This window comes from Homo sapiens, chromosome 20 (genome assembly GCF_000001405.40).
Source record: "Homo sapiens chromosome 20, GRCh38.p14 Primary Assembly".
In the NCBI taxonomy this organism is placed as follows: Eukaryota; Metazoa; Chordata; class Mammalia; order Primates; family Hominidae; genus Homo; species Homo sapiens.
The window spans coordinates 4,158,153-4,179,571 of NC_000020.11; the positions used below are offsets into that span (position 1 = coordinate 4,158,153).

Below are 21,419 nucleotides of genomic sequence, written 5' to 3' on the forward strand. Positions count from 1 at the left end.
GCCTCCCAAAGTGCTGGGATGACAGGTGTGAGCCACAGCGCCGGTCGGGGTGTGGTATTTTAAATACCCAGGAGGAGCTACGGTGGTGCGTGGGGCAACATTGGCCCTCCGACCTGACCCGAAGGCCCTGGTGGGGCATGCTCAGTGGATTTTCCTACCCAGCCCTAGCTCCCCTCTCTTGTCCTCCTTTGCCCCTTTGTCTTTCTTCCTCAAGCATGTAGGAGCCCAGTGCTCTCTAAATCTGGGGCTGGGAGGTTGGAGGATGAGGAAAAGCATCTGGATTCAGGTGGAGCATGGTGGCCTAGCTGGGGGCATTGCAGCACCCCTTAGTCCAGATTCCCTTCTTCTCCACCTGCTTCTTGAGGGACGGCATTAAGGAAGGTGTGACTTAAAGTCAGAAGAACAAGAACTTGGAAGTGAGTTGCAATTTATTAGAAAACAGAACAAAGAATCTAGCCACCCCTGCCAACTCTGTGCTAGGCCCTGGCAGACACATGGGTCCTGTCTTCCCCATGCAGCCCCGGGGGCCTGAGTGAGGCATGATGGGTCTCACTCAGTTTCTGGGACATCTGTCTCGATGCCCTTTCGTCAACCCCATGGCTCTCTCAGAGCCTGTCCTCATACCTTCAACTGCTCCCCACCCATAACCAGATCTCCGGGACAGCCCAGCTCAGCCAGCGCACCTCTGATCCTGGCGGGTGGTGGTGATACTCCTTGCAGGCTGAGTTGGCTAGATTTTAGGATGACTCAAGCAGGAGACACCCAGCACCACCAAGGGGCATATATTCTTAGGAAATATTTTTAAATGATGCCTTTAAATGTTAAACACACAGGGACCTTTTACTCTCTCTTATTTTGGAAAATTAAAAAAAAAAAATCATACACAATGCAAAACCTTGAGAGTTAATCTGAAAAGGTTTGGAGTTTAAAAAGTAACTCAAGGAAAGATAATGAACTTGACTTCTTCATTAGATTTTTTTTTGTTTTTGAGACAGAGTTTCACTCTTGGAGTGCAATGGCGCGATCTTGGCTCACTGCAACCTCTGCCCCCTGGGTTCAAGCGATTCTCCTGCCTTAGCCTCCCAAGTAGCTAGGATTACAGGTGCCTGCCACCACGCCCGGCTAATTTTGGTATTTTTAGTGGAGACGGGGTTTCACTATGTTGGCCAGGCTGGTCTCAAACTCCTGACTTCAAGTGATCCGCCCACTTCGACCTCCCAAAGTGCTGAGATTACAGGTGTGAGCCACTGCGCCCAGCTGCTTCTTCATTAGATTTTAAAAAGAGCAAGGCCTGAGGCTTAATATATTACTAAGTAAAATTTAGAGGCAGGCTGATAGCAGGCTGTGGAACCTCTCTGAATCTCAGTTGCCTCCTCTGTACTATGGGGGTATTGATGTGAGGATTGAGGTATTCCACACAAAATGCTTGGCACTGCACTCTGTATCTCAGGTGTATTCAGCTAAAAATAGAGTGATAACAATGATGATAGGATTTTAAGAACAGACCTTTCTTGATGCTTCAAAAGCTAGTGAGTTATTCTCTCTTTGAACTCCACAAAAGGGCCTAAAGAATATGTTTATGTCCAAACTCAGCGTCTCCACTTCATAGGGGTCTTATGGATGAAATCATGGGCGCATGGCCCCTGTGTGCATTCTGAAATGAACCCCAGTGGCTTTTGAGACCTGGTTCCAGCCCTCGCGTGGGTGGGGGACTGTGCTTCATGGTTGAATTCTATGGAAAGTGCTTTATTGGTTAATCCTGTGGTCTTCTTAGGAGAGCACAGTTAATGTACCCTGAAGTCACCAGGAGGGGAAGGTCTCGGGCCAGTGATCGAGGACCGTCTAGAGGCAGTTATGAGTTACTTGCTTTTTGAATTTTCTTTTGTGCTGGCCAATGCAATTAGAACTTGTCCCTGGCCCTATTTATGGAGGAGGAGATCGAGGGTGAAGGACTGAGGCCTGGCTAGTTTAGTGCCTGGCAAGCCTAATCCAGCTGCATGGGGCAGGGAGACCAGGGTGACCTGCAGGGACCCCACTAAGCGCCCAGGCCAGAAAGCAGGTAGCTTCCCGGTGGCAGCCCCAGGCTTTGGCAGTGAAGCTGGAGTGAACCATCAGGCCTTGAGATGACTCCTGCCAGCCCCAAGTGCCTGGCACAGTGTGTGCATATCAGTATGTGGGGAGGAGTAAGATGGGAGAATCGTTGAGCCAGGGCAGTCCTCGGGCCTGCCGCACCCCTGGGGAGGCTGAGTAGGGGGGCCTGAGGTCGGAGCAGGGATTGAGCAGTGTTGCCCTGCCCTGCCCCTCACTCCATCCAGGTGGCGTCTGTCATGCCTCTGAACCTCTTGGGGCCTGTTTCCTCATCTGTAAAATGGGCAGCAGAGAGTTTATGAGTATTAAAGGATGCAGTGAATGGAAAGTGCCCAGCAAAGGGCCTGGCACAGGAGGGGCAAAATAGAGGTTTGCTGTGAGGTTCATCTGGTGACTCGATTTTTCTTTGGATATTTTCCTTTTTTCGTTTTGTGATCATGCATGCCACCTTGGCTCTATGATAAATTACGTTGTGTGGACACCATAAGAGAGGTATTTGTGCTGGAAAAGGGTTTACAGTGGAGGAAGGCCCGTCTCCACCTTCAGGGAGGAAGGCTGCCTGGATCCAGCACGGCTCAGACAGCTCTGACACTGGGGCTGTCGTGTCTCTTTGTGGGCAGAAAGCACAGGTCCCAGGCTGGGCAGAGTGGGACCCTGTGGCTCAGGAGGCAGGATGGGCTTGCCGGAGACCCCACCCCCTCCCCGGGGCTGGAGCTGAAGCACAGTTGGGCTTTGTGCAGAGTCACGAGGGGCCGCTGAGGGGGAACTGCGCCCGGCTGAGCTCACAGGCCTCAGTTCTTGTAAGTGGTTTTGAAAGAGTCAGCGGAAAGTGCTGACTGAGCTGTTCTCCTTCACCCCAGAATTGTGAGGCTGCGGCTCCTGGCAGGGATAGGGGAGAAGCCCCACCGGGAAGCCACCCCCTCAGCTGCCAGCTCACACCTCCCAGGTGTCAAGTGCCCAGGCTGCAGAATGGGTGGATCTCTGTGCTGGGTGGTGCTGGGGACACTGACTCACGTCAGGGCCGTGCCTGCAGGTGATGCCTCATGCAGGGGGCTGTGTTTGGGGGTGTGCCTGGCCCTGTGATGGCAGGCGGCTTGGAGAAGCTCTCCCAACCCTGCTGATAGCCCGGAGGAGAGAACTGGGCTTAATAATCAGACCCCTGGGCTGACCTCCCCTCTGCAGTCCTGCACTGAGGTATTTGGCTTCTGTCATTTTTCTGACCCCATCAGCTTGTTGTGAAGGGCAAAGATGATGACCAGTTGACACAGTTAGAACTGGTCTGGGTTTGTCCCAGCGGTGTCATGCCTGGTCACCCAGGTCATGCTGATGTGGCCCTTGCCCTCACCCCACATCCTGCCATTCAGCAAGTCCCCAGGAGGTTGACACAGCACTGCACCTCCTCTGCCGCAGAGTTGCCTTGGCAGGAGGCCTTCCCTGACGCCCCTGTGCAAGCAGTTAGTTTCCTGTCTCCCCGCCCTGCTTTTCCCTGACCTGACAGATCCTTAAGGGGAGGCGTCTGGGTGTTGCAGTATCCCCAGTGCCTCGGACAGTGCCTGGCACAGGTAGCCCTCCAGAAACCTTTTTGAATGAACGAAAAATCTGTCCCCTGCTACTCCCGTCCCTGCCTTAGGGCTCACTCACAAACCCTGTCTGTGCTTTTCTCCAGTCTCCTTAGCACTGGTCCCACCCTAGGCCGGGAACGTGCCCCCCGCCTGCCCGGTGCCCATCCAGACTCCCACTCACGGCGGCAGCCACCGGGTGGCAGGGCCTGTGTGTCTCCAGCGCCTGTGCCTGCCCCGCCCCCTTCCTGGTGCCTTGGGCGGCAGGTCGTGTGCCTCCTGGCAGGTGTGCCTCCTGCCCTTCCCCAGGGTGCCTCGGGGAGCCAACCTGCATGGCTGACTTGCCCAGGAAGCGCAGGGCGGCCCGGGTGGGGCTGGGGCAGGCCCTGAGCGGAGGCGGGAGGTGTGTTCTCCCCACCTGACGCTGGAAGGCTTCCCCACTCCCCACTCCCGACTCCCAACTCCCAGGGCGGGGTGAGGCGGCTGCCACAGTCATGGGAGGAAGCTCAGGAGAGTGCATAGTGTGGGACCAGGGGATTCCAAGCCAGTCCAGGTGAGTTCCCGGAGAGAGAGAAAAGGGACAGTGTTGGAATCACACGTTGAGAGATGATACTGTTAGCAGTGCCTCTGAGCCTCTGCACGTGCAGTTTCCCTGCGTGGAGCTCACTTCTCTCTCCTGGGAATTTCCACCCCCTCTTCCACCCTCCATTAGGTCTTCCTTCCCATTGTCTCTTGAATTCTTCATGATCCTTATTTCTGTACCTTTGAGTTCACTGGCTGTGAGCCTCAGGGCAGGGGGCCCTGTCTCTTGAATCCATTGCTGCGGAATCTCCAGGGGCTGATGCAGGGCCAGGCAAGGGTGCATCTTGGGGGAGACAAAACATACAAATATAGGTCTCTCTAAGGACTTCTGATGAGGAGGCTTGGACCCAGCAGAGAGCAGAACAGATGTGATGGTCATTCCCATTTTGCGGATGAGGAAACGGTCTTTCCAAGATCACTCAGAGCTAGACCCCATTCCTGCTTCCTGGCTCCTGTCCTCCAAGGGAGCAGTCCCAGCGCAGAGGTTGGACCTGCAGAGGGTGTTGAGATGCAGAGAGAAAGACGGGGAGGATGCGGCTGTGTGTGTCGGTGTGTGAGCAAGGTTGGGCAAGGACATCTGTGTGGCCTGAGGTGCTTTGTATGCCTGGAGAGCAGAGGGCTTTGGGAGCTGGGCAGCAGCGGGGTGGAGGGAGACCCAAGCCTAAGCCCAGGGTGGAGGGAGCTTGGGCACTGCCTGGCCTTGTGGCTGTCTCTGCCTCTTCCTCTCCGGCACTGTCAGACCTCAGTGGCTGTGGGCTGGCCAGGAGGCTGCAACTGGAACCTGAGCCTTGGCTGTACATTGGCATCATGTAGGTCCCTAAAAAAAAAAAAAAATACATGGTTGGGCCCCACCCCAGAGAGTCTAATTTAGATGACCTGGTATAGGTAGGGGTTATTTGTAAAAATCTCCAGGTGAGTCTAATGTACTGGTTGGGAGAAGTTCCTGTCTCTTGGGCCTTATAAGCTGTAGGGCCTGGGCCAGGCTCCCTGCCCACTTCATCCTAGCTCTGCATTTCAGAACAGCGGGGTCTGAGGCCCTGAGAGGGGTTGGTTGGGGGAGTGTTTACCTGGGGACTTCCACTCTGGGGAGTCTCTGGGGAGAGAGAGATGCTGACTCTTAGTTACCTATTGTTGGCTAACCAATGACTCCAAAACTGGTAGCTTAAAATGGCAGTCAGCATTTATTATGCTCACAGTTTCTGTAGGTTGGGAATTTGGTAGCAGTTTAGTTGGGTGGTTCTGGCTCGGGGTCTCTAGTGAGGTTGCAGTCACAGTGTCAGCCAGCGCTGCAGTCATCTGAAGGGAGCAGGAGGATTTGCTTCCAAGATGGTGTGCTCACATGCTTGGCAGGATGGTTTGGCTGTTGATGGGAGGGCTCAGTTCCGTGCCCTGTGGGCTGCCCCAGGGTTGCTTGAGTGTCCTCCCCACATGGTGACTGGCTTCTCCCAGAGTAAGCTGCCCAAGGGAGCAAGGTGGAAGCCACAGTGTCTTTTATGTCTACTTTCAGAAGTAACATTCCATCATTTCTGCAATATCCTGTTAGCTGCAATGGTCAGCTTGGGAGAGAACTACACCAAGGCACGAATCCCAGGAGGTAGGGATCATTGAGGGGCATCTTAGAGGCTGGTGGCCACATAAATTGTCCTGTTGTTGCACCTGCAGCTTCACAACCCTAGCCTGGGAGCTCCAAGCACCCCTACCAAGTAGGATAGTGGGGTGACCCTTCTATCCTGATCCCCTGTTCTTCCCATTGTCATTCCATAACAGTGTCTCTGTGGGGTAGGGTGGCTCTCTCTGAGGCCTGGGGCCCTGCTCTGGAATCATTCTGCAGGGGGATCTGTGATCTGTCTACTGGCTGGGCTTCCTTCATCCCCACCCCTGCCTGTCACCCGGCCCGATCTTCCCTGCAGTGACTACCACTAGTGTGCAGACTGGGGCCTGTAGGAAAACATAAGGACTATTGCTGCTACACATCTGGCTCTGGGATAAGCCATCTGCATGCGTTGTCACACACCTCTGTGGGGCAGGCACACTTTATCCCCATTTTACTGATGAGGAAACTGAGGCTTAGATCACTCATCTAATAAGTGGTGGGGATTCAAATGACTGGTATTCAAAGCCAGCGTCAGACCCCAGGACCTGTGTGAAAGCTGTGGTACTATAAGGTGTTCCCAAAGGATAGGACTATTTATTAAGTTGGGTCGTCAAATGAAACATAAGGAAATATGCTTTCATGATTTGTGTGTGTGTGTGTGTAAGAGAAGTGTCTCTTCCTGGGGTTCGCCGAAGGCTGTGGTGACTTGGGTGCCTCAAAACAGGGCTGATACCTTGGTGTTGAAGCTAGTATTCCCTCTCTGGGTTTCGGCTGTGTCAGGAGACTTTTTTTCTAAGGAAGCGGGCAGCTGTGAGCACCATCGCCTGTTGGCCCTCCCCTGCCAGTGGCCTGGTCTGCTGTTACCAAGGGCAGTCTTGCACCAACGTATTCACCAGGGCAGTGACCGGCTCTGTGGTGTTTTTTTCTTTAGAGACAAGGTCGCCCATAGTGGAGTACAGTGGCATGATCATGGCTCATTGCAGCCTTACACACCTGGGCTCAGGTGATCCTCCCACCTTAGCCTTTGGAGTAGCTGGGACTCCAGTTGTGCATCACCATGCCTTAGCTAAGTTGTTTTTTTTTTTTTTTTTTTTTTTGAGACAGAGTCTCGCTCTGTTGTCCAGGCTAGAGTGCAGTGGGGTGATCTTGGCTCACTGCAACCTCCGCCTCCGAGGTTCAAGTGATTCTCCTGCCTCAGCCTCCTAAGTAGCTGGGATTAACAGGCACGTGCCACCACACCTGGCTAATTTTTGTATTTTTAGTAGAGACGGGTTTTCACCATGTTGGCCAGGCTGGTCTCGAACTCCTGACCTCATGATCCGCCCGCCTTGGCCTCCCAAAGTGCTGGGATTACAGGCCTGAGCCACCGCACCCGGCCCTAGCTAACTTTTACATTTTTATTTTTGGAGAGATAGGGTCTTGCTATGTTGCCCAGGCTGGTCTCAACCTCCTGACCTCAAGCAATCCTCCCACGTCAGCTTCCTAAAGCACTGGAATTACAGGCATGAGCCACTGTTCTGGGCCTGGTCTTTCTTACACCTTTGTGGTTGATGACTTCCTGGAGGGGAATTCAGAGTTGGGATGTTAGGTCCTGCTCACAGGGAGGGAATCCAGACCATGGGGTCTTATCCTAAGGGCCACTAAAGGGAGCTGCAGTAGACTTTGCTGGGGATACAGGAGGCTGGTGAATAGGTTCAGGAGTCAGGGCTGGCCTCTCTCAGGGTAGGGGTGATTTTCCCCATTTGACAAATGGGGAAAATGAGGTTCAAGTGCTAACAGACTCTCCCAAGGCCACACTGGTTAGTGGCAGAGGCTGCTGCTGGGCAGTTCATCTTCTCTAGGAACATCTGGAGTGGCATAGTCCTCCCAGCAGATCTCTGGTTGCTGAGGGGGCATGGAGCTTGCCTACCTCTGCAAGATCTGGAATCTGAGGGGAAGAATGTGGGTTCTGCCTGCTGAGAGGTGACTATCTATCTGGCAAGCCAGGGACATCTGCAGATAGACATACACAAAGATGGGAAGCAAGGCATGGGGTGTGAGAAACCTGGAGGTGGAAACTTAGCTGGTGGGGCTGGCCCAGAGCTTGAAAAGTTCACAGGAGGTGTTCAGAGCAATTGTGCCTAGCGCCTGATCTAATCTGTTGTCAGAGTGTGATCTATTGTCAGAGTGTGATCTATTGTCAGAGTGTGATCGAGTTGCTAATTTTTGCTGAAGGTGGGACCTATAGGGTGAGGCTTGGGATGAAGCTGCAGGGGTGTGGCCTGGGGAAGTAACTGCAGTACCAAGCTCTGTTCTGGCCCATCTCTACCTGTGTCTCTCTCTGATACTGTCATCAAGGCCCTCAGTGAGCTTTCGGAAAGACCCTGCCCTTTGTCTGACTTCTTTTTTTTGAGACAAGGTCTTGCTCTGTCTCCCAGGCTGGAGTGCAGTGGTGTGATCATGGTTCACTGTAGCCTCGACTTCCTAGACTGAAGCAATCCTCCTGCCTTGGCCTCCCAAAGTGCTGGAATTACAGGTGTGAGCCACTGTGCCCTCCCAGCCTCTCTGGCTTCTTTCTGAGCTTTCTTCCCCTCCTCCACCCCCAGTTAGGTTTCTAGTTGAGTAGTCTCCTGGGTCTGCCCCTACAGGGAGCTATAAAATCACCTTATGCCTCCCAGGCAAAAGGGTCCTGAAACAATGAACCTCGGTGGTATGCAGGACACCAAGGGAAACAGAGATGGCCCCAGAGTGCTCACCTCTCCCGGGGGCCTCCCGCTCTTGCCTCCCAGTGCCTGTGGGGGCCGTGTCTTTGGCTCTGTCCCTCCATGCACTGAATCAATGGCTGCTTCTCCTTGCAACACATGCCTGCCAAGGCCCCCTGGCTCCCTTCTTCTCATCTGAAATTCGCTTACAAAGCCTTTTTAAAGTTGTGCTTTTAGGGACTTTATGATTTTAGGGAAGAAATGTGGGTAGCAATGACAATGTAATTGGAAAGAAGTCTGGGTGCCAGGCAGGATGATGGAGGCCTTCCCTGTTTTTGGCCTGTGAGGGCCAGGGGACATTGCTGGGGGCGGGGGCTCTGCTGAAAGAGGCTCCCAAGCTTTTCCCTTTCATGAGCTTGGAGCTGGCTAATGGCCACCACCTCTGATGCCCCTTCCCCTCAACAATGGGGAGGATGGTCAGGCTGAGTCAGGATTGAGGGGCTCAGGCCGAGTCAGTATTGGGTTGGGGTCAGTCAGATACAGATGTGAGGTGCCTGCATGATGTCAGTGTCAAGGTCCAGCCTGATAGTAGGGTTGGGGCCAAGGTGAAGGCTGGGTTCTGAGCTCAGATGAAGATTGGGGTTCTTCTATAAGTGAGACAGAGCTCTGGGCCCTAGGAAAGGTGACTTCTGTACTGGTCTCTTTGGGGATCTTCCTCCCTCTCCCGCCCTCTCCGAGATGACCTTTGCAGTGGCCACACCTTTTACCTGTGCTAATTTAATATTCCTACAAGTCGGCTGTACCTATCCCCATTTTACGGATGGGAAAGCTTGAAGACCAAAGTGAGCCTTTAAATATCAGATAGGGCTTGGACAAGTGTGCCCAGGTAGTGGGGTACAGAGGGTGCGTCCTTGGAGTGAGTTCAGAGGTGTTGGCCAAGTGGGGCCTGGAGAAGGGAAGACACTGGCCCAGGGGTCACCTGGCAAGGTAGAGATTGAGCTGGGGCCTGATTCCCAGGTCTGGGCCAGTGTTCTCTCCCTCCTCTTCTGTCTCCTGGGTTCATGAGCTGCCCCTGCTCTGTTCCCCACACCTGTACCCCGATTCTCCCACCGTGGCAGCCCAGCCTGGCCCAGCAGTCCTTTTACTTCCTGGCCAGCCTGAGTGAGGAGGCTGGGGAGGGTCTGGCTGGGAGGAGTTGGGGCCCAGCCCCTCCCTGGTTGAGGGGTGGGAGGAGCCTCACCGCAGACACAGAGCCCCTTTGTCTGGGCCGTTGTGCAAAGCAGCTGGTCTGGGATTTCTGGGCGTTTTTACATTTGAAGAATAATTGCATTGTCTGGGGGGCCTCAAGAATCCAAATCCCTCCCCAGACTTCCAGGCAGTCCAAAGATGTGCCCCTGGAGCAGCTCCCCAGCTTCCCTCCCACTCCCTCTCCTCCTGTTAGAAACCTGAGAAAGAGCGGGGTAGGGGTGGGGGGGTGGGGAGGGGGCATGGGGAACTGAGGTGGGGCTGCTGCCCTCAGGGACCAGAAGTCTCCATTGGGAAGAGAGGTTTAAAGTCCCCAAGGCTGGTCGGGGGCAAGTGAGCTGTCCCCTGCTGCCGAGGGCACCACAGCCCTGAACAGGTCTCATGAGCAGATGTGCGGTTGGAGGAGGGAGGAGGCTGGTGGAAGGCTGGGTCTGTTTTGGGGCACTTCAGCTGGTGGAGTCCTGGGCCCCAAGGGGAGCCAGGCAAAGTGAGCCAGGTGGGCCAATTTCCTGGGAGCCTCACTCTTCTTCTCTGGGAAGCGGATTAGGAAATTCATCCCCGGGTGACCTTGAGAAAAAGGCAGGGCTCAGGCACACTTGGGAATAGCCTGTGTTCGGAGGGGGCCAGAGATGGGTAGGAGTTTTGTCTCTCTCTCTCTCTTTTTTTTTTTTTTGAGACGGAGTCTCGCTCTGTCACCCAGGCTGGAGTGCAGTGGCGCGATCTCGACTCACTGCACCCTCTGCCTCCTGGGTTCAAGCGATTCTCCTGCCTCAGCCTCCCGAGTAGCTGGGATTACAGGCACCCGCCACCACGCTTGGCTAATTTTTGTATTTTTAGTAGAGACAGGGTTTCACCATGTTGGCCAGGCTGGTCTTGAGCTCCTGGCCTCAAGTGATCCGCCCGCCTCGGCCTCCCCAAGTGCTGGGATTACAGGCTTGAGGCACCATGCCTGGCTCTCTCTCTCTTTTTAAAATTAATGCTCTATTTTATTTTATTTTATTTTATTTTATTTTATTTTATTTTATTTTATTTTATTTTATTTTATTTTATGTTATTTTATTTTAGAGACAGGGTCTTGCTCTGTCGCCCAGACTAGAGTGCTGTGGTGCTATCATAGCTCATTGCAACCTTGAACTCCCAGGCTCAAGCCATCCTTCTTCCTCGGTCTCCAGTGTAGCTGGGGCTACAGGTACATTTCACCACAACTGGCTAATTTTTTAATTTTTATTTTTTTGTTTATGTTTCAGACAGTCTGAATATGTTTGCAATTTTTAATTTTTAGTAGAAACTAGGTCTCACTATGTTGTCCAGGCTGGTCTCTTAACTCCTGAGCTCAAGTGATCCTCCCACCTTGCCTCCCAAAGTGCCGCGATTACAGGCATGAACCACCTGTAATAGCTCTGGCCACACCTGGCCAGATTTTTATCTCTTGTGAGGGGCGTCTTGGAAGGGTGTGGGGTACGGGAGGCTGGCCTCTCCTGGCACTGTTTTGTTTCAGTAGCCACTCTTGGAGAGGGAGTGATGTGCTGATTTTTGGGTGATGCTGAGGTGGGCTTCAATGTTAAAGAAAGGGCACTGCACACCCAGCTGGGTGATTGATTCCACTGTGGTTCACTCACAGGGTTTGGCCGCGCTCACCTTGGGCAGGGGCTCGCCAGTCTAGCCTGGGACCTCAGCCCTGCCCTGTGGCTGTGGGGCTTCAGCCTCATTCTTGAGATAACAGACAACAGAATTTCCTGGGGTGAGATGCCTGTGCTTTGGGGGTAGGCTGGGGGTCAGGTGACAGTGCAGAACCAGTACGAGGGACTCACATTTCAAGGGTGTCTGTTGCTTCAGGAAACAGTAACGGAGCAGGCCTTGCTGGTGGTTCGAGCAACACCCACCCCGAAATCACACAAGGCCGTGCATACTAAGAGAACCCAGAACCAGCTTCTCTGATGTGTATGCGGGAGGCTGTTTCCTGCAGGCCTTCAGGTGGGCGGGGCTGGGGAGGCTCCAGACTTTTGGTGAAGTTGGGGGTCTGTGTGTATGTTTTGGCGGGGAGTTGTGATTGAGAACTGAAGCTAGAAAGGCCAGCTGGGTCCAGAGGGCAAGGCTGACATGCAGAGATCTTCCCCAGGCCTGCTACATAGTAGGTGCTCAGTGAATTGCTAAATTATATTCCCTGGCCAGCGAGATGCCCAGCTGTGCTTATCCTTGGAGGGTGGGGCTGGGAGATTGAGACCCGCATGGGTGAGGCTCACATAGAGGAGGCGGGGTGGGGGGGTGCTTCTGGCGCAGTTGGGGGTGGAGGTGACATGATTCAGGCTGTGGAGTTGCCATGGCTTGACCCGATGTATGAGGAGGGTCTCCCACTAAGGGTGACTCCAGATTTGAGCCTAGGGACTGCTTGGTGGTCCTGTAATTTGCCCTCAATGAGGAAAGTGCCAGGAGTTGGGTGGTGCCTCCTGTTTAGTTCTGGGCATTTCCAGGCGGGGCTTGGCAGGGTCAGACGTTGGAGACCAGGACTAACGCGTGTCTCTCTAGTATTTGGCCATTAGAAGGTACTTGCTGGAGTGTAAATTTCTTCACTTTTTTTTTTCTGAGACAGGGTCTCACTCTGTTGCCCAGGCTGGAGCACCATGGTGCCATCTCAGCTCACTGCAACTAGAGCGTAAATTTCTGAGGGTGTCAAAATGAAATTGGGGAGGATGTTCCAGGGATGGGATGAAGAAGTGGCAGTTCACACAAACTTTGGTGGCTCGTGCCCACTCTGGTCACCTGACCTCTGAGTCTTTATTCTATTCATCCGTCTTTGGCAACCCTGCCACAGGACGGGGTTTTTCCTCCCTCTTTTCCTCTCTCCATACCCTGCTGCCTTCCTGTGTCCAATGTGGCCTCTTGGGACACTTCAGTCAGGGTGGTGGTGGCTCTGGACAGCTGGGGGAGGCGGTGGCCTGCAGGCTGGAGAACTGGCTGCGTGGTATCTTGGATGAAATTGCCAGGGGACCGGGGGGTGCACTCATGCCCTGGCTGGCCTGATTTCTTGGCACTCCTAGGCATTGCCTGCTTGGGGACATGGAGAATAACCTCAAGGCGTGGGTGCAGGCGCTGGGCAAGAGGCTCACACCCCCACTTTGCCATGGAAGCAGGAGCAAGAAGGCAAGTGTCTGTTGCCCGCCCTCCTCCTCTTCCCTGCCTGGCTGAGCCAGCACTTTTTTCTTCTCTCCTTTATCTGCTCAGAAAGTACAGGGTGTTCTGTTTCTCCTGTGCATACAGATCAAGGAGCGGATGTTATTTCTTTCTTTCTTTCCCCAAGGCGAGAGAAGGACAGGGCAGGCACCGAGTACCATTTAAGTGATTCTCCTTCCTCAGTAAGGCAGTTTCTCATACATTAAAACAAAACAAAACAAAACCCAGAAGGGAAAGGAAACGATGACACAAACCAACAGAAAACAAGTTGCCCCTTAGTGCCCCCACTCCCCAGCAGGCATTTAGCACACAGTAGGTGTCCTGGCTATGTTCTCTCTCTCCCTTTCAGTTGGACCACAGGGTGTGCTGGCTCCATGGGATGATATCAGGGCCACAGGACGGACTCATTTCTCTGCCCTCTGTGGGCTGTGTAGGGGGCTCCTCTGGCTTCCTGGAGGCATTGGGGATTGACAGGCTTATCTGGGACAGGGCCTGAGGAGGGACAGGACCGTGGGATTAGCTGTGAGGGTCAGAATGCAGGGGACTCACGTGGCCCCTGCTTACTTGCGTGTCATTCCATGTGCGATGTCTGTTTGAGTTCAAAGTCTCTGAGACCAGGTGCAGGGAGCTGGGGGTTCTTTCTGTGCTGATCTTGGAGGCAGAGTGGCTGCCTGCATTCATTCCACGGTCCATTCCACAGCTTGTTCCAAAGACAGTCTGCTCATGATGTAGCTTCTGCACTTGACAAATTATTTTCATGCACGAGGCCCTTGAAAATGTTGACAGTCTTGTGACATCCATGGAGGGCCTTATTTGACGGTCACAAAGGAGCGGTGAGGACAAGCGGGCCATGCATGGCTCTGGGAGCAGGGAAGGCAGGTAGCTGGCTGGGACGGCCCTGCTGGCACCGAGCGCTGTTCCCCTATCCTGGCTTCCCAACGCTGGAGCTTATCTGGTCCCCTGGTTTTCAGAGGTGGTGCTCCAGGGAGCCTGGGGTGAGGGGGACCCCCAGTTTAATACCTGCTACACCCTGACCCCCATAGCAGCTTTTTAAGAAGGGGTTCCACCAGTAAGGCGTGAGAGCCACTGCAGCCATCCCTTTCCGTAGTGGATAGGAGACTGTGTGTGGGGTGGCCTGGGGCAGACCCGCCGGGCGGGTTGCGGCGCCACGTCAGTCCAGGGTGCCCAGGGTGGCGGCGTCCCCGTCGCAGCTGGCGCGGCCCCTCCGGAGCACGCCGCGTGTTTACCGACCTGACGCAGCGTCCCGGCCCGGCTGGCAGACATCCGGCGGCATCGCCGCTGACCCTCCCCGCCCGCCCCGTGCAGGCGGCCACATCCTCACCTCTAAATTTAGTTTGCAGGAAGGAGAACCTGGGGTAGGGTGGGGGAGGACTGGAGCCAGCCCTGATCCGTGTCCTCTCGGGAGGGAGGCAGGACCTAGCATCTCTGGGGCGAGGGAGGAGAGGGACGGGAGTCAGAGGACAGAGGCGGGGAGGAGGAAAGGGCCGGAGCCGCCCTGCTCCCGGCGTGGCCTCATCCCCAGCGAAAGCGCGACACCCGCTGTCTGGGAAGGGGAGCGGGAGCCCTTGCCTCCGAACTGGACGCTGCCCGGATGTGGCTCCGGGTCTCGGGCGCCACCTACCGGCCCTTTTGGGAACCGATTCTGCACGGAGTTGGCGGGCCTGGGTCTCAGGGGGACTTGGAGGGATTTTAGGGGCTGGAGGGTGGGTGGGTGGGAGGGGGGGTGGTGGAGGGAGGATTCCCGTCCAGGCCCAGGCATCGCGGGGGCAGGTGCAATGGGCGGGGGAGGCACAAAGAGCAGCTTCTCAGCCTAAGCGTATTTCGGAAAAAGCCTCCTTTGTTCACCCATGTCACTTAAGGGATGTTAAGGACGCTGCGGTTCCAAGTGGGATAGAAACCTCAGTGGTCAGACCCTGAAATGCATGGAGAAGAAAGTCAGTGTGGCAGCCTTTGACGGATTGATTGGAGGGCAGGAATGACTATCTTGTTAGTGAGGTCTATGTAGATACATACAGTGAATTACACATATCTCAACTGTGCAGCTCAGCGAATCTTCATACGTGCACTGGGTACCCACCCTTCAGATTAAGATATTTATTCCGTCTACCCCAGAAAGGCCCCTCCTGCCCCCTTCAGTCATCTCCCTGCCTTCTAACCTCTCTTCTGACCTCTGGCTTCATAGATTGGGTTTGCCTCTTCCTGAGCTTCGTGTGAATGAAGTCATACAGTCCGTGCCCTTGTCTCTGGCTTCTTTTGCTCAGTGCGTGATTGAGGTGCATCTGTGTGGTTGGGAGTGTCAGTACTTGGGTTCTGTCTACTGCTGAAGAATAGTCCGTGGTATGGATATGCTAGGTACAGCACCGCATATGTCTCTGTTCTCCTGCTGATAGACCCGTGGGGTGTTTTTATTTTCAGGCTGTTACGAATATAGGTGCTGTGCACACTCTTTAACTTGTGTCTTTGGTGGAATGTGCCCTCTTTCTGTTGGGTGTATTCTTAAGAGTGGGATTGCTATGTCATGGGAACAGTTATGCGCAGCTTTATTAGGTACGGGTGACAGTGCCCCTTGTTTGCTGTCCGGCAGCCACCTTCCGCCCACATTTGTTCCCTGTTAGATCCTGGATACTGTTAGATTCTGCAACTTTTGCCACTTAAACCCCAGCAAAGACAACTGGAATCTAAATTGCTTGAATCAGGGAAGGAACAGGGACAGCATCTGAGCTGAGTGGTTCCTCAGGGTGGCCCCCAGATATCTCCAAACCCTCCGGGTCATTCTGGGAAGAGAAAAGCAGCCTCTCCTAGCCCTGGGGCCAGATTTGGGGACCCCCTTGGCCTCCCAGCCATCAGCTCCCCTAGTCTGGCGTCTCTGAGCAAACTGGCTTAGTGTAACTGTCAATTTCATGTCTGGCCTCTGGTGCCATGGGTCCTCTTGGTCCACTGTTTCCTGGGCTCCTTGCTGCTTTGTGGTGGCTGAGGGACTGGGTGGCTGGGAAAACAACCTACCCGGAATAGCAGGCTTGTTGGATGCAGGCCTCGTGGCACTTTCTTGGGGGAGGGCGGGACTATGTCCTGCCCACCAAATTGCCACTTCGGTGAGGCTGTGAAAGACCAACAGAAAGCCAGAGACAAGAGAAGGGGCAAGGGAAAGAGAGAGAGAGTGCCAGGGAAAAGCCAGGCAAAGGAGGGAGAGCAGAGGGTCCAGGGTTGTGTGTGCAAGTATCCTGGGATCTGTGTTGAGTATCCTGAGGTTTGTGTGAATATCTTGGGGTCCATGCAAGTATCTTCGGGTCCAGGCAAGTATCCGGGGTCCATGCAAGTATCTTGGGGTCCAGGCAAGTGTCCTGGGGTCTGTGTGAGTATCCTGGGGGGTCTGTGTGAGTATCTTGGGGTCCAGGCAAGTATCCGGGGTCTGTGTGAGCCTCCTGGTATTGGCACCAGGTGGACCACAGCAGTTATGCCATGCTGAGCTGGTCCAGAATCAGCAGCCCCAAGCTCCAGTCTCTCCTGACTGTGGCCTTCTTGGTCATCTCCTCACTGGCTGCCTCTCATCTCCACTTTGGGGCCTGTGGTCAGGGAAGAAGCAGGGCCTAACAAGTTTGGGGGTGGGATTGAGAATTTCAGGGGCTTAAGATGGGCTCCCAGGTCTCCTGCCTGCTGGCGGGGACCCAAAATGCATCCCTCCCTTACTTTCTCCTTCCCTTCCCTTTCTTCCTTTTCTCCTCCCTTCCTGCCACCTTCCCTTATTTATTCTTCCATCCCTCCCTGCCCCTTTGGAGGTGGCTCTTCTTGTCCAGGTCCTCAGAGAGGGAGGGAGAGGACTCCAGGTCCCCCCACCCACAACAGAGGGCAGAGTGTGATGAAAGCCCTGAGTGTCCCTTGGGGCAGGTGGGAAGTGAAGGCAGAGCCACTAAGCTGTGACACCTCCTCCCCCTGCAGGTTCCTAGAAGGTGAGCGCGGACGGTATGCAAAGTTGTGAATCCAGTGGTGACAGTGCGGATGACCCTCTCAGTCGCGGCCTACGGAGAAGGGGACAGCCTCGTGTGGTGGTGATCGGCGCCGGCTTGGCTGGCCTGGCTGCAGCCAAAGCACTTCTTGAGCAGGGTTTCACGGATGTCACTGTGCTTGAGGCTTCCAGCCACATCGGAGGCCGTGTGCAGAGTGTGAAACTTGGTAAGTGCCACCCAGTCCAGCCCAGCCACCTCCCCAGGTCACCTTTAGTCTCCTAATTCCCGGCTCTGCCTGAAATCTCATTATTTTAACTTCTGGGATAAATGTTCCATCATGCATCCTGCCTGGGCATTTTCCAGAAGCTTCCTTCGCTCCTCGTGGCAGCCCTCTGAGGCGGGCATGGTAGGGCCCTGACTTTCACTTGTGGAGAATGCTGGCTTGCTTCTGACCTAGTGCTCACAGTGTTTAGGAGGGAGTGGACACCCAAGCTCTCTTGGTACTGAGTGGGCAAGTTTCTATTTCACAAGAAGTGAAATTCTTCTGCAAGGTCCTAGTAGTTGTTAACTTTTTGTGAATACTAATTGTGAATTAGTATAACATGACTGAGAGCTAGCCCTGGAGCAGTAGGATCCTGGGTTAGCAGAGATGAAAGGGGATTTTGGGCCTCCATGTGTGTGATGGGCAGGTCTTGGGATTATCTGGGAAGTGGATCTGTCTAGGTTGCAGAGCAATGAGGACCCTGGAGAAAGCAGCCAGGTAAGAGACTTGCCCTAGGGGTGGGCAGACTTTGCCAGGGATCTCAGAGAATGGGAAAATTGCCTGAAATCCCTAGGTCAGGGCTTCCCAACTGGCGGGGGAGGGGGTGGGGGGGGGATGGTTTCTGACCATTGAGGGGTTGGGTGGGTAGAAACCATGAAAATGACCCAGTGAGACCACACATGGCCTGGAATGTGTGGCTACATTGATCCTCTAGAGGAGTTTTTTTTTTTTTTTTTTTGAGACAGAGTCTCACTCTGTCACCCAGGCTGGAGTGCAGTGGCATGATCTTGGTTCACTGCAACCTCTGCTTCTGGGATTCAAGAGATTCTCCCGCCTCAGCCTCCGAAGTAGCTGGGATTACAGGTGTGTGCCACCATGTCTGGCTAATTTTTATATTTTTAGTAGAGACAAACGTTTCACCATGTTGGCCAGGCTGGTCTTGAACTCCTGACCTCAGGTGATCCACCTGCCTGGGCCTCTTGTAGAAACTTTGATCACCTTAAGTGTCTTCCCCTACAGCATTTCCTGCAAGGCATACCTAAAGTTGTCCCTTTTCCCCAGCACACACAAGAGTGTCTGCAGGGAAACAGACTCCACCTTCTCATGGGAGGAATGGCAAAGTCACGTTGCAAAGGGGTGTGTGTACAAAGATAGGAGGAATCATTGTGACTATCTTGGCAAAAAGTGTGCCACATATATCTTGAAGCAGGCCTGCAAAAACAAAACGAAACACCCCCCAAAATTTCTATTTTCCTTTCATTGTTTCGGCTTCCCTGGGAGCTAGGTAGGGATGGGGAGGAATGGGAGAAGGAGACAGTTTCTGCAGCATCAGAAGAAGAAACTGAGGCCCAGGCACAGAGGCAACTTGCCTCAGAGTATATGATGCCTTGGCTGGGGATGGGGTAGTAGACCTAGTTCCCAGGCCATCCCAACTTGGACCCACGAGATGTCCCCTGCCCCAGTCCGGCTCTCAGGGTTTTTTGTACTGTGTCAAAGGATGTAGAGGGCTTCACTTTCCCTGGAAATGTGCTTTAGATTGCTTTTTGGGGGAATCTTGCAAACTGGGATGTTTGGACTTCTCTCCTGCCCTATGCTGAATTTGGAGGGAGCCATTTTCTGTCTGGGAAATGCTTTAGATCTTGGAGCCACTGGGGATGTTGAAGAATTGAAAAAGGCCAGGTGGGGACCCTCAGGTACCCACAGTGCTTCTCCCCGGTGAGGAGGCACCAGTGAGGAAGTGGGGTCTGATATCTGGTGTTACCTGAGAAAAAGGTGGGACGGAAAAAGAAGAGCCTTCTAACTGGTCCAGTAAGGCCACTCTGGGACAAATCACAGAGTCATCCAAGGTGGCAGTTATCTTAGCTATAAGGTGGTTTTCAGTGGGAACTTTTCACTGAGGACCTTCGTTGGTTGCCAGCAGTGGAAGTTCAAGCTCTTTCCTGCCCTGTTGTAGGGTGGAAAGACCCTCTTGGAGGAAGGAGGGGGAAGCAGTGCTGGCCCTCTCTGGAGAAGTCCCTAAGCCTCTAAGGGCCTGCTGTTGTCACCCTCAGGACACGCCACCTTTGAGCTGGGAGCCACCTGGATCCATGGCTCCCATGGGAACCCTATCTATCATCTAGCAGAAGCCAACGGCCTCCTGGAAGAGACAACCGATGGGGAACGCAGCGTGGGCCGCATCAGCCTCTATTCCAAGAATGGCGTGGCCTGCTACCTTACCAACCACGGCCGCAGGATCCCCAAGGACGTGGTTGAGGAATTCAGCGATTTATACAACGAGGTAAGGTGTGAGCAGAGTAGCTGGGCGTAAGGGCATGGGGAGACCTGGGAGGTCTGTGATTCTGGTCGTGTCTCTGCACACTCCCTGGGCCTTGCATTTGGAAAACCAGGATAATGTGAGGGTAAAATGAAAATATTCAGTGGGATAGAACTGATTTTTATATATTGATTTGTTAGCTTGCTAAATTATTTTTAATTCTAATAATACATCTATTATGTTAATTGTATTAATTTATATTCTAATAATATTTTGGAATTTATGTATATAACTCTACACAAAAAATGAGAATTTTGTCTTTTTTTCCTTTCTAGTCATTAGACCAGCATTTATCCAATAGAACTTTCCACAGTGATGGTGATGTTTTAGACCTTCGCTCTGCAGTGTGGTAGTCACTAGCCACATTTGGCTCTTGAGCACTTGAAATGATGCAAGTAAAACCGAGGAACTGAATATTTAATTTTTTGTTGTTGTTGTTTGTTTTTGAGATGGAGTCTCGCTCTGTCGTCCAGGCTGGAGTGCAGTGGCGCGATCTCAGCTCACTGTAACCTCTACCTCTCTGGTTCAAGCGATTCTCCTGCCTCAGCCTCCTGAGTAGCTGGGATTACAGGCACGTGGCATGCCCAGCTAATTTTTGTATTTTTAGTAGAGATGGGGTTTCACCATGTTGTTCAGGTTGGTCTCGAACTCCTGACTTCATGATCGGCCTACCTTGGCCTCCCAAAGTGCTGGGATTATAGGCGTGAGCCACTGCACCCGGCCTAATTTCTTAATTTTAAATTGCTACAGGTGTCTAGTAGCTACTGTGTTGGATAGCACAGCTGTAGACAGTTTTATTTTTTTCTTGCCTTATTGCACTGGTTAGTATCTCAGTGCAGTGTTGGACAGAAGTGGCAATGGCACACATCCTTGTTTTATTCAGATTTTTAAAAAATTATTAATATTGTTAGTATTCTTTAGCTGTGTGAACTGCACCGAACAAGCAAAGTAATGTGTAGGCCCTGTCATCTGATAGCTTGTCATTTGTAGTGTAATGAATGATCCTTCACTCCAGGTCAGTAATTTGGCCAGCAAACACCTATTGTGCATTTTCTTTTCTTTCTTTCTTTCTTTCTTTTTTTTTTTTGAGACGGAGTTTCGCTCTTGTTGTCCAGGCTAGAGTACGATGGCACGATCTCAGCTCACCGCAACCTCCGCCTCCCAGGTTCAAGCGATTCTCCTGCCTCAGTCTCCTGAGTAGCTGGGATTACAGGCATGTACCACCATGCCCAGCTAATTTTGTATTTTTAGTAGAAATGGGGTTTTACCACGTTGGTCAGGCTGGTCTCGAACTCCTGACCTCAGGTGATCCGCCCACCTTGGTCTCCCAAAGTGCTGGGATTACAAGCGTGAGCCACCTCGCCCAGCCTATTGTGCATTTTCTAATCTCTTGGGCATGAGAAAGGAGACATGACCCTTGCTTTGGGGTGGTCCCTGCTCTATGGAGGACAGGCACACTTGGTGTCATGTGTGTGCACCAACAAGGTACGTTGTGTTGTGCATTCTCACTCATGTGCAAAGAGACTGAATTGTTAATGGGTCAAATAAGAACTAGTATTCTTCAAAACAGACCTTTCTTTTCTGCTGGAAATCAGCCCCAGCCTGATTCCCAGGTTATTGTGAGTGATTCAAACATGGATGCCTCTTGAAAATGACTTTCGGGGCCCGTGGTTTGTTCTTTTAAATGTCGTTAAAAGTAGATCATCATCAAATTCTGCTGGTGGGTTTGATTTTTGAAAGTCAAGAGAGTGCGTTGTGGATATGGAGTGGATATGGTGGATTATCTGGGTGGTGATGTTTTGAGTCAAAAGGATAAGGCGTAACCCTGATGTCAAGATTTCTTTGTGTGGCTTTTAACCAATCCTAGAGGCCATTCTGAGGAGGGGTGCTCTAAGCACGTGAAACCTTGCCTCAGTGTGGCTTCATAATAAGTATGCAGCCCCCAAAGATGATGACGT

At 53.0% G+C, this 21,419-nt stretch overlaps 1 protein-coding gene and 1 long non-coding RNA gene across 14 annotated transcripts in view, besides 5 other annotated features; one reads left to right on the forward strand and one right to left on the reverse strand.

Moving 5' to 3' along the window:
* Positions 1-21,419, forward strand: part of SMOX (spermine oxidase) — a 38,900-nt gene that overhangs the window by 9,325 nt on the left and 8,156 nt on the right. For 8 of the 13 annotated variants that reach the window (NM_001270691.2, NM_175839.3, NM_175842.3 and 5 more), the window contains exons 2-3: positions 16,878-17,111; positions 19,199-19,425. In NM_001270691.2, the coding sequence (NP_001257620.1) occupies positions 16,904-17,111; positions 19,199-19,425 (435 nt within the window). In that variant the 5' untranslated portion in view covers positions 16,878-16,903. Of the gene's footprint in view, positions 1-4,112; positions 4,201-14,786; positions 15,011-16,877; positions 17,112-19,198; positions 19,426-21,419 lie in introns of those variants that run through there. The other 5 variants (XM_047440220.1, XM_047440223.1, XM_047440217.1 and 2 more) reach the window with 5 other exon arrangements.
* Positions 411-14,368, reverse strand: LOC124904861 (uncharacterized). Its single transcript, XR_007067504.1, has 2 exons — positions 13,485-14,368; positions 411-5,046 (listed from the first exon to the last, which is right to left on the reverse strand). It is a non-coding gene; the product is annotated as an uncharacterized LOC124904861 (long non-coding RNA).
* Positions 2,612-3,545: an enhancer, noted in NCBI's record as "H3K27ac-H3K4me1 hESC enhancer chr20:4141411-4142344 (GRCh37/hg19 assembly coordinates)". NCBI's record gives its function as "activates a minimal SCP1, AML or CMV promoter by ChIP-STARR-seq in naive H9 embryonic stem cells {active_cell/tissue: H9 hESC(naive)}" and the evidence as "EXISTENCE:reporter gene assay evidence [ECO:0000049][PMID:30033119]".
* Positions 9,370-10,071: an enhancer, noted in NCBI's record as "H3K27ac-H3K4me1 hESC enhancer chr20:4148169-4148870 (GRCh37/hg19 assembly coordinates)". NCBI's record gives its function as "activates a minimal SCP1, AML or CMV promoter by ChIP-STARR-seq in naive H9 embryonic stem cells {active_cell/tissue: H9 hESC(naive)}" and the evidence as "EXISTENCE:reporter gene assay evidence [ECO:0000049][PMID:30033119]".
* Positions 14,079-14,238: a silencer, noted in NCBI's record as "silent region_12639". NCBI's record gives its function as "represses an Ori minimal core promoter by ATAC-STARR-seq in GM12878 lymphoblastoid cells {active_cell/tissue: GM12878}" and the evidence as "EXISTENCE:reporter gene assay evidence [ECO:0000049][PMID:35858748]".
* Positions 14,269-14,388: a silencer, noted in NCBI's record as "silent region_12640". NCBI's record gives its function as "represses an Ori minimal core promoter by ATAC-STARR-seq in GM12878 lymphoblastoid cells {active_cell/tissue: GM12878}" and the evidence as "EXISTENCE:reporter gene assay evidence [ECO:0000049][PMID:35858748]".
* Positions 14,519-14,588: a silencer, noted in NCBI's record as "silent region_12641". NCBI's record gives its function as "represses an Ori minimal core promoter by ATAC-STARR-seq in GM12878 lymphoblastoid cells {active_cell/tissue: GM12878}" and the evidence as "EXISTENCE:reporter gene assay evidence [ECO:0000049][PMID:35858748]".